The sequence below is a fragment of the Homo sapiens genome, chromosome 7, assembly GCF_000001405.40.
Source record: "Homo sapiens chromosome 7, GRCh38.p14 Primary Assembly".
NCBI classification, from domain to species: Eukaryota; Metazoa; Chordata; class Mammalia; order Primates; family Hominidae; genus Homo; species Homo sapiens.
In genome coordinates, this window is record NC_000007.14 from 41,585,460 (window position 1) to 41,597,649 (window position 12,190).

The 12,190-nt window shown below is 39.1% G+C and overlaps 1 long non-coding RNA gene across 1 annotated transcript, besides 1 other annotated feature; it reads left to right on the forward strand.

The window, feature by feature from the left end:
- The first annotated feature begins 922 nt into the window (after window positions 1–922).
- On the forward strand, window positions 923–9,309 carry LOC105379725 (uncharacterized). The gene is made up of 2 exons (XR_001745184.2): window positions 923–1,011; window positions 9,150–9,309. It is a non-coding gene; the product is annotated as an uncharacterized LOC105379725 (long non-coding RNA).
- Window positions 6,644–7,374: an enhancer, noted in NCBI's record as "H3K27ac hESC enhancer chr7:41631701-41632431 (GRCh37/hg19 assembly coordinates)". NCBI's record gives its function as "activates a minimal SCP1, AML or CMV promoter by ChIP-STARR-seq in naive H9 embryonic stem cells {active_cell/tissue: H9 hESC(naive)}" and the evidence as "EXISTENCE:reporter gene assay evidence [ECO:0000049][PMID:30033119]".
- Window positions 9,310–12,190: the final 2,881 nt, after the last annotated feature.

A 12,190-nucleotide genomic window follows, 5' to 3' on the forward strand; every position in this document is an offset into this window, starting at 1 on the left:
CCATAACCATGTGTCACCTTAATCTTTATTTTTAATATCAAGCTTTGTATTCCAACAAGTGGATTCACATCCATCATGAAGCAGATGCTAATACTGGCCAGCTTATTTCCAGCTGGTACTTACCTTGTAGAAGGTACTGCTTATGGCACATCCCATTGAAGACCAGCTTCATGTTGAAATTCCTTCCTCCCCTGGCATTGCCACTACATCCTCCTGATTTTCCATTCTTCTCTATTCATCTCCTTGCTTGGGAAGTTTTGCTTTTCTCACATCTTACCCTTAGATCCTTCCTTTTCAGCCCTCTTCTTTTCTCACTCTACTTGCTCAAGGAGGATGGTTCCCAAGCCTATCTCCAGCAGTGATCTTTCTCCTAAGTGCCAGACATATATTTTCTACTGCCAGCTGGAAACCTCCCCTTGGATGTTCTTCAGGCATTTAAAACTCAACACCTACTTTTCCCTCCTTCCTCCCCATCTGTCTTGGTCAATGGCATTGCCATCCTCTCAGGCTAAGAGCTCAGGGTCATCATTCACTTCTCTCTGTTTCTGACACTCAACTCCAGTCTCTGTGTCCTGTAGTGTTCACCTCTTAAATATTTTTTCTCTTTCCAAAACCTGCTGTCTTGGTTTAGGTCCTTTGTATTCATCAGGATAATTAACACTGCTGTTATAGCTGTCAAACTCGGAACTCTACATGGCTGAAAATAACAAAGGCTTGTTGTTATGGACTCACCCAAACTTGATGCAGGTTGAGTGATCTCCAGATCACTCCTCCATGCCCTCCTCCATGTAGTAACTCAAGATCCATTCTGTGTTCATCTTGTGACTCTGCTACATCAACAGAGGCTTCTATGATCTCAGATGAAAGAGAAGAGACAGAAGAGAAGACAGAACAGCTCTTTGCTTCCTCAAGTAAAGTGACACAAGTTAGAAGTGGCAGACCATTGGTGAGAACATGATCTAACCTAACTTCAAGAAAGTCTGGAAAATACAGAGATACATGAAATGTATTGTGAGTACAAAGTATCCGGTAGGCTCTTTTCCTGTCTCACCGGGACTAATGCGAATACTCCTGACTAGTTTGCTTAACTTCAATTTTCTGTTCTACCCCACCTATATGTTTTTACCAGATATTTTATTTATAATTATTATTATTTATTTCTTATAAAACATAAAATCAATCTTGTCACTCTCCATTCAGAATCTATCAATGGATCTCCACTATTTAGGAAATGAAAAGCATAGTCTTGCAAAATAAGACTGCAATCTACTCTTCCAACTATATCCCCATACCTACAAAGCTTTAGCTAGAAGCTTACCAGACAAAATATTCTGAATATTCTGTTCATTCTCTCATTTTCATGTCTTAGTGCATATGTTACACTCTTCCTGGAATATGTGGAAGATATAGTTTAAATGTGATTTGACTTTGCTCTGAATTGTTATGATAATGTAAACATTGAATGTGGATCCATACAGGAAAAAAAATGAGTAAACAAGTCCAATTCTTTTTTTTTTATTGTTTTAATTTTACTTCAGGTTTCAGATGCAACTGCAGAACATGTAGGTTTGTTACATAGGTATACGGGTGCCATGGTGGTTTGCTGCACCTATCAACCCACCATCTAGGAACTAACCCAATTCTTATAGTTTCCCTTATCTTAAGAAAACAGACCTAGGGCTTGATTTATTTCTTTCCTCCTTAAATGAAGAATATAACCACACTTGGCTGTAATTTCTATTCTATGTGTATGCTAATCCCTCAAAAAGCCAATGGTGAATGATGCTGTTTTTTTGAAGACAGGTTCCAGATCCCTAATGAGACTATTAGAGGAAAATTTGGAGATACTTAACAGCTGATGAATTTCGTATACGAATTGAAGTATTTCCTTCTGGTCCAATCCATGACCACAACAGCCAGCTTTCTCTGCCAGGAATTACCCCTGGGATCAGGTTTATATCTAGATGTAAGGGAAGAGAAGATCTTTGCTGCTGACAGCCTAAGCCACTAGAAGCTAAGATTATTCAAACACAGAATAAGGAAATTTCCCTTGGGAAGCCAGGCTGCTTTAGCAAGAGACCAAAGAATTAGTGGGAAGGCACTGTAGCCTAGTGGAAGAAGCTAGGGTTCTGAAGACACACAAATCCAAGGTCAAGTCTGCTAAGAGGTCTTGTGACCTCCAGAAGTTGTTTAACCCCTTTAAGCTGCAGATTCCTCATCTAACGTCTTTTCCAGGAATGATTACATCTACATCTTTTCCATGGTCATTACATCAAACAAACAATGTGTGGTAGGTTAATTTGGCAGCATGTTAATTTGCATTTTCCCTCCGCATCTCCTTCCCCCCGCACATGCACACACTCACACATGGTCCAATCTTTGGTTTTCCTTAAGTCAAGGACTTTTCATTGCATGAAGGAGAACTCTTTGTCTTTGTAGAAACATGCCTCCTGCCCATTTTCATCACCTAAATTCACAGATGAGCTATCACTGCAGGAGAGAAGAGGGGCACGCTAAAGACAGAGGTAGAGACTGAAGACAGAAAGGCTGGAGGCTGCACAATGAAAGAGAAATTCATAGACTTTTGTGTAGCAGTGACCTGGGGTGGTGAAAAGACCTCAGAGGATGCCCAAAGGAAGTCTGTACAAAAGACAGAAGGGCTCACAGGTTACCTGAACGTTTCTGGACTCCAAGCACATTGCTCAAAGCCCATATCTGCAGGAATTGGGGGTCTCAGCAGCAATCTGTGTGACCTGATGACTAAGGGCTGGAGGTGCCTTTTACTACAGAGAATAACCACAGTAATGACTGACAATGAATTTCTCTACCATGCGAGGGGGGTGAAGCCTGGGAATCTAATTTTAATTATTTTTTTAAAAAAAAACTCTGTAATAAAATGCTTCTTGCTCCCTGTACATTACTTTATAAGGTTTGTGTGCTACCAATGTGATATGGACTAAGCATGTCCCCACCAAATTCATATGTTGAAGCCCCCCAACTCCCAATGTGATGGTATTAGGAGGTGGGGCCTCCTTATAAAAAGAGGAAGGGAGCTATTTGCCAGACAGGAAGTCCTCACCAAAACACAAATTTGCTGGTGCCTTGATCTTGAACTTGCCAGCCTCCGGTTCCGTGAGAAATAAATGTCTGCTGTTTAAGCCACCTAGTCTATAGCCTGAGCTGTTATAACAGCCCGAGCTGACCAAGACGCAGTGTAATCTCTTATACTGGGTAAGCCTTCAGTAGAGGTAGTGACTTTCCTCCTGTCCAACGCTCTTCTTCTGCTATGAGGAGGATGGGAATTGCTCAGCTGGGTCTTCCTGTGCTGTCACATTAGCCCTAACCTACTCTGTAGGAATGAAAGTTTGATAGACACAATCTATCAAAACCACAGTAACAACTTATGAGGCAAAATTCTAAAACAGCAACACATCTCAAAACTCTCAGAAAGATAAAGTAATAAAAATGCATAGCCATTCCCAGGCTTAGTATCTCAGAGGACTTGGCGCACTTCTTTGGAATAGAGAGACTGAAATTATGATTTACTTATCTTTGCATTTTGCCAAAGGTTTACCTTCCAGGCAGCTCTCTTGTAGGCCAGAATTGGGGAAGGTAGGCAGAATAACCCTCAGGTTGTTGTCATCTGCACACTCCCTTTTAGTTCTAGATTAGAGGTCAACAAACCACAGCCCAGGGATCAAATCCAGCCCAGCGACGGGTCTTGTAAATAAAGCTTATTGGAACCTAGCTGTCCTCTTTCGTTTACCTATTTTCTATACTAGCTTTCATGCTACAAAAGCTGAAGTGTTGAATAGTTGTCACAAAGACAGCATGTCCTACAAAACCAAAAATATTTACTACCTTGCCTTTCCTGAAAAAGTCTGCTGACTCCTATTCTAGATTACAAATGTGGTGGGACTGGTCTCAGAGATGGAGTAAGATGGCCCCAGTAACTGTGCAGGACTATCACTGTTGACCATTTTTGAAGTAGGATATGTTTCAATGTGAGAGAACCCTGGAAACTTTCCTCTGTCCCTCTCTATTACACCCACCTCTTGACTCTCTATCTGCCTAAATTCATTCCCTTGGGCTTATCATAATTTCCTCCCCAATTCAACCAACATTGAGCACACACCACATGCCAGACCCTGTTTGGTACAGTTGATACAGACAGAATTCTGTCCTCCAGGAGCTTATAATGGGCTTTCAGGAGGTAGACATCAAAGAAGTAATGCCATAAGTGATGCTTAAGGGCATTGGACCACTGACTGCAAGGTCTTATTAGTCTGGAAGTCTACCTTTCTATGCTTCTAAAATTAGAATGGAGAGCAACCTTAGAGTAGAAAGCTCCTCAATATAAGCTCACAATTTTCTGCTAGTACAGATGATTCCAAGAGAAGAAAATGGTTCTACTGTCTCTTTGTCTGGTGTTCTCTCTCATATATTTTTTGTTGTGGCATAAATAACTCTAAAGATGTTTCCTTCACACTTGGAGTGTATGGAAAGGACTTTAGGATTTACAAGATTTACAAAGGCCTCCAAGCTGGGACAAGTTTGTTTTGCACTTCACCAGTTATCCTGGTATAACTATTTTTAATGGCACTGTCTTTCAGTTCTCAAAGAGTTCTGGCTTGAACATTAAATTATGTGCTACCTTCACCTATAACCCATACCCTTAGCCTGCCTAGACATCCATAAGGTATGAGTAATATGGAGTTATCTTCCTATCAGTGCAAAATTTCACTTAGGTTATTCTTCATCACTCGCACTAGATGAAATACCTAGCAAGTATTTCTTTTCAAAAGAAAGCCATATTTTACTTGCTTCACTGATTGCACAGTTTAATGATGAAATAAACTCCAAAGTGCTAAGAAGAATCCCTAGCATATAGTAGAGAACAGCTAAATTTGAAGTATATGAGACTATTGATTGTTGTTGATTGACAAAATTAAGACCCTGAAAAATAGTCTTTGCATTAAGGTAGGCAGTTAATCTGTTGAAAGAAGAGTCTCCTTGGGGAAGCCTTGCCTGACCTTTCAGTACTACTCAGCCCCCAGCACTCTTGCGCAGAAGTCATTCAGGGCTTGCCACATTTGACTGATGTACTTGTTTCTTGTCTGTCTCCACTGAAACATCTTGAATTTCTAGTTAGCTATCATAACCCCAGGATTTAGTGTCTCACTTATAGTAGGTTCAATAAGAATTTCTGCATCAAACATTTATCATCTGTTGACAAACTCCTGAGATATAAATAACAATAAAGTCTCAAAATGCCAGAAAAAAATCTCTATCACTGATATCTTGATTAGTGCTTTAACTTGTTTCTTCAGTGGGTGTTGTTTGCCCATAATACAGGCTCCCTAATGACAATCTTGCCCCAGACCCTCACTGTTTGAGGGAAACAGCTAAATTATGATTGGAATTAGCCAGGAACCAAATGTTTTAGAACCAGGAAAATATATAGACCTTATTTCCTCTTAGAAGGGAAAATAGTAGCAATCATCTGATCTCTGGTTATTAAGTAGACAAGACAGGCAAAGAGCTAAGCATTGAAACTTGCATTACAGTTACATGGCCTGCCCCTAATATCCACCACCCTGTTACTACACATTTTCTGAATAAGAGTCATTTAGGAGACAGGTTCCTGTCTAGGCATGAATCAAGGTCCTTTAGTAGCAGTAAGCGTGAGACATTTGGCTGTCTCCTAGGAAGAGGCATTATGGAATAAACTGGGATTGTGCAGACTTTCCTCTCCTGAAGAAAAAGCACTGTCAGAACAGATAATTTATCAAGGGAATCCTATACAGAGTTGGCACATGTCCTACTGACAGGCATAGAGTACAGAGAAAGGATTTAATTCCAGGATGTATTTTCCTAACCAGAAACAGCTGTCAATGGAAGAAAAGTGGTCCATCCAACCATAATTGAAGGGTAGGTCATCAAAGTTGAAGAGTTGTTTGCTAGAAACTAAGAATGGGTGGAGAGAGAATGCAGAATGTCATCTGGACAGAGGTAATTTTCAGAAACTCATAAAACAAAACTGGGGCAAGAAGGGAAGGAACACCATCAGAGGACTGATGAAAACTGTAAAATAAAACTGTGAGTTTAAAGGAAGCGCTAAACCAGAAAAGACCCAATGGTGCACATTTCATTTTCCTCTACACTAACTGGGTTAGCCCCAAAAAAAAGGCACAAAGTGAATGATTCTTCCCAGGTAGATAAAATGTTTACTGTATGACTATCACCCCCAGCCACAAAACCCAGAGACATTTGTTAATTAACAAACAAAAAGTGGATAATATGCACACTTTTCAGAAGCTGCTTTGAAAAACGTGTAATATGTATTAATTAGCGCTAAGTTCAACAACAACTAGAAGAAAGTTAGAAATTTGTGTTTTTTGGTCACATAGAAGATGAGGAGACCTAAGGCTAGTCCAGGAAGAGTCCAGGGCTGGTATGGTGATTCTGCTCCACAAAGTCTTCAGGGATCCAGGATTCTTCCAGCTCACCTTTCTGCCATCTTTAGTATATGGTTCTCATCATCATCATCTAAGATGTGAACTAGAGCCACATTCATAGCAGTGGGATTAGAAAAATAAACAATTGTCATCAAGGAGTCCAGCTCTAGGCAACAACCATAAGCATTTGCAAGGCTTGGTCCCAACCATAAGCATTTGCAAGACTTTACCTGGGAGGCCTCATAGGAGAAGGCTGCCCTCCTCACATCAGACTTGGTGCACAGCAAGTACATTCCAGTTCTCTGGAAGGAGTTGCAGTCAGATTCAGCTGCTCCCCCAACCCTGCCTGGACAAGCCATATTCATATGCTCAGAAGCTCATATGCTCATATTCCTGGCCTAGGTGCCTCCATTGAGAGGCCTCTTTATTGGGGTCCTCAGATGTTGTCCCAAGACCTCCTTTTCAGCTGGTTTGGCTGAGGCAATTTTGCCCGCAATGACTCAGTATTTCTCAACTCCCAGTTCTACCCCCTTTCCTTCCTCTGGTCTCCTAGGTTCATAAAATGCAGAAGCCATTTATTAGTGGCTCTTCTCAGTGAGACAATTCTTCCCATGTGTACTGCATGTCATCTGCCCTCTCTTGCTGCCATTCCACAGAGAAAAATGGAATGCTAGGGAACTGGGGCCCTTTGCTTATACTTGCCTGCACTGCAGCAGTAAGTGAATGGAGCTTTGACTATTATTTTCAGTATGACTTGAACATCTTGACCGGCAGCTTGACAGTTATTTGCCTGAAGTTTCTTCAGGAGGTTTCCCAAAACTGCCTTGCAACTATTTTTCTTAATTCCATTGGTGAGAACTTGGTTACATAGCCATAGCCAGCCAGTTACCAGGGAGACTGGAAAATGCATTCTACTACTATGGAAAAAGAGTATAAAAATCCATTGAGATGAAGCTAGCAGTCTTTGCCACATCCTTGTATATTACTAACCTCCCTGAGTTGGCAAAGCAATGCAAGGGGCATAGTAAGGAGATTAGAGTTTAAGTCCCTGGCACCAACTGGTTAAATCCTATGACTTTGAGTGGCTTTCTGCATTAGTCTCATGTAGTCAAATGGAATGTTTAAGCTTCATACTGCCCTCAAGGAAGTCTAAGGTGTTACATTCTAATATATTATCCTTACTCATACTATTTTAAAAGACAAGACAAAAGATTTAAAGATTTGTCATTTAAGTCTTTTTTATGTGGGTGAGGACCAGGAATGGAATTCACTATGCAGGAAGACCACCTTTAGAGATTTTTAATCCACTTTTGAGCTTCTGTCAAGGTTATTTAAACCATTCATTTGCCTGGTTTGTCACCTTAGAGGAATGGCATTCATTTGCAAATTGTGATAGCATGCTTCCAGTTAAAAAGGAAGCAAAACAGATTGCCAATCCTGAATTTATCTGAAAACATACAGTACTCAACTCCAAGATGACAATAGTCCATGGACTTCAAAAGACACAGATGCAAAACTAAATATGGAAAATGTAACCCTTAAAAAGAATAATTCATTGAGTAGGCAAAGATGGAAAGATGATGTGAAAACTTTCTTATCCACAGAATATTATGAAGTCATTTCTGGAAGGAGTTCTTAAATTTAAAATTTATTTGTAAACTTCAACTAGGAAAGATGTTAGTTCAAATGACATAAAAGGCCATTGCACCATGAAGACATGTGCCTTAAATTACCCTCTGTTCTTCTGCCATCCTTCAATTGAAGTTTCGGTAGGGTTTAATGCAGATGTTCTTCTGTAATTTTCTCTTCTTTTACAAATGACAAGGAAGACTGTGATTCTCAAGGTCACATTTCATAAGTAAGATGTCAGGAAATACATATGCAAAGCAAACTTCATCTATATCCCAGTGATATTTGATGATTTTAAACTTACCTCTTTAAAAAACCCAATTTAAAATCTATAATTTATTAATTTGTATTCTTCTGGTTTTGTTTTAAATTCTTTTCATAGTATTGTAAAATATTCAACATTCATTAGGCACCAATAATCTTAGGTTGAGGAAGTTATTTAACTGCCTCAGTTTTTGTATCTAGAGCCCAAGTAGCTTGTACCAGATCAGTGAGTCTCAGGGAGGAAGTATATCAGCACATGCAGGAGGAATGGATATACTTTAAAGCTCTCTTTCTCAAGATTCTGGTGTGCATCCTTCATCCCAGCCATACTTCAACCCTGGTTATGAATTATTGCATGGGATGAACAAGGTCCCTTGCAGTCTGCTACTATCTGCTATGTGAATATTTCCATGTTACATGGAGGTGCCTCATTATGAGTCTATCACACTGTTTTTCCTATGGTATTTATTTATTTATTGTTGATTTAGTGCTTATTATATGACAGGTTCTCTGCTAAACACTGTGGTTTACAAGAAGGATATAGTCCCTGCTTATTTCAAAGACTACTTTTGCCCACTTGATGTCCATTATCTTTTCTTCTTTATCAACAAAACTCTAGTTCTGTTATGAACCAGAGCAAAAGCTTGCATTTTCCTGCTTTCTTGCAGTTGGCAGAGTTGGTCTTATAACTTATTCAGAAGAAGGAGACATAAACAGAAGTCTGCTGATTTTGATTGCTATTTTAACAAATTATTGTGTCTTCTTTCTTCTGTTATCTTCCTCCTCCTTGGAACGCAGTTATAATGGCTAGAGCTGGAAACACATCATGTATCCAGAAGGAAAAGGGCAAGAAGATTGCAGGATCCACAGACCTGGTATTCCCAAACAGCTGAACCAGTATCAGTACACCTCTGGATTTCCCATTACTTGAGAAAAATAAACTCTTTCGTTTTAGCCACTGTTGGTTACGTTTCTTGTTACATGCAGCCAAACTCAATCCCTAACTAATACACCATTTTAAGAGACTTCAGCATCTAGTGAGAGATATGTATACCTAAATGGGCAATTGTTGTGCAATAAATGATATGGGCAGGAAGATTAGAGTGGTGTGGAAATACATAAGGAGGTATCTATCCCAGATTTGGAGATTTGGCAAAATTTTTTCCGTATTGGAGTAGATATTAGCCATGTGAAGAAAGGAAAGTCACACCCAGGATGAAGGGATAGCATGAACAAAATATAGAGGTGAAAGAGACTGTGGCTTGTTCAGGAAATGAAAGGAAGCTATGACTGAGGGGCAGAGTTTAAGTTGAGGAATAAGGCTCAGGAAGGAAGAGGGGTCTGATGATAAGAGGCTTTTAAACTTCATTAAGAAATAGAAAAGGGGATCAACTTCCAGAATGACAGTGTAAGGAGCTCTACTGGCCCCAGTGAGACTGGTGAAAATTATTTTTAAAGACCAACCATTTAAAGCCTCTGGAAATGGTCTTAAGGGAAAATAGGAAATCAAGAAACATCTCTCTTTAAAAATATATTAAAACTTGGTAAGAAAAGCAAGACTCTGTGGTATGTGAACCAAGACTTGTCACTCCTCAAAAATCCCTATCCCAACTCGGTGAGGTGGAGATACCACTACAGATTGCCACAGTCAAGAACACAGGCTACCACTACCCCAAGTTCCCAGTCAGAGGGCTTTTCTCCAAGAAGGAGCAAGACTTCAGCATTTGTAATTCTGCCCCCAGCTACCTATTGCTGAGGCTAAGTCCTGGGTGAGTGCAACTGAGAGGGGGTGGTTTCTTTGTTCAGATCAACCGCCACTCATGTAATGGAGGCTCTACCTTAAACATGGCACATTGAGAGTACCAGTATTTCAAACACCCTTGCCCCAGTTCATGGGGTGATGGTCCTGTGATGGAAAAAGCAAGCTGAGAGGAACTCAGGCTGTTGCCACCTCCCACCAACTGCTTAGATCCTAGACTGGGGGTGTTGCTCAGAGAAAATCTTGCCATTGTCCCATCCCCAGCTCCAGTTCCCTGGCTCCAAGATTTCCCCGAGGGTAGAACAGGCAACAAAACATATAGCTCTTAATCTCATCCAAAAGAAAAGTTCTCATTTGCAAGAGAATATGAAGTTCAAACTTAAGGATGCTCTCAAGAGCAAAAACAGTAGAGGTTGTGTTGAAAAGCAATTGAGAGGAAATTTGTAGATTTAATGAAGATACACCCAGAGATTAGGCCAGGTAGTTTGCAGTAGAGAACTGGAAAATAAGACAGCTGAGAGGACCTTTGGGGTCACAACAAATAGAAAACATGAACCTCTGAAACTATTCCTTCCAAGGAGCAAGAATTTGATTGGATGTGTTTATACAGCAATATATACCCCAGAATATTGTTGAAGGAACTAGAGCAATCAGAGGGCAATTAGTTGAGTTAAACAGCTGGGTGTGATCAGGGAAAGAGAGAAAGAGGGCCCTCCCCAAACTGTAAGTGATCTAAAAAGCTGAGTCTACCTGAGGAAGAACATCACATGCTGAACACTATGTAGGGAAAATAGATTTCAGTAAAATAATCCAGCTAGTCACTAAAACATAAAATTGTTAACAATAACAAGTCTCACAGGGGGCTGGGAATCAAACCTAAGTATTGGTACAATATATTATTTAAAATATTCAGTTTCCAACAGAAAAATTACAATGCATTCAAAGAAATGGAAAAATGCACCAGAAAAAAAATATACCAGAGAACAAAGTAGTCACAAAAACTGCCTGTGAGAGGCAAAGAATGTCATAATTAACAAAAATACATCAAGATAGTCATTATAAATACGTTCACAGAATGAAAGGAAAGCATGATTAAAGAAGTAAAAGAAACATATGATGACAATGTCACATCACAGAGCATAATAGAGCATAGTACTAAATATATAGAAATTATGAAAAATAATCATGCGAAAATTATTTAGTTGAAAATTACTGAAGAATAAATTCCCTATAGACACTCAACAGTAGATTTCAACTAGCAGAAGAAAGATTTATAGAGCTGAAAGATAAATTGATAGAGTAAGCAAGCCAAAGAACAAAGAGAAAAAAGAATGAAGAAAAGTGAACAGAGCTTCAGACAAATGTAGAATATTACTAAGGACACCAACACATACTGTCATATCACAGAGAAAAAGCAAAAGGGATAGAAAAAATATTCAAAGAAATAATATCAGAAAATGTATCAAATTTATTGAAAAACTATAACCTACACATTGAGAAAGCTCAACGAAGGCTAAGTAGCATAAATTTGAGGAGATCTCACAACATCATAGCAAAAGTGCTGAAAGTAGAACACAAAGAGAAAATTTAAAACACTGAGAGAGAGACAACCAGTCGTTTACAAGGGAACCTCAAGCAGGAACAACAGTCTGGCAGACAGTGGGATAACATATTTAAGAGATTCAAAGAAAAAACTGTCAACCAAGAATCCTATATCCAACAAAATTATCTTTCAAAAATGATGGCAAAAAACTTTCCTCAATTAAAAACAAAAAAAGGCCAGAGAGAATTTGTTACTAGCAGACTTGTCTTAGAAGAAATACTCAGGCAAGGTTTTCAAGTTGAAAGCAAGTGACCATAGATGGTAATTTGAATCTATATTTAAAAAAAAACAGATACACTTGCAAAAGTAATTGTGTAATTGTAAAAAAGTATTTTAGATGCATGTTTTCTTTTTATATTAATCTAAAAGCAATTATATAAAATAATATGTATATAATATAATGTTAAGATATGACATAGAAAAATGTAAAATATGTGTAGTATATTTGCCAATAACATCACAAAGGACATGAGTGAC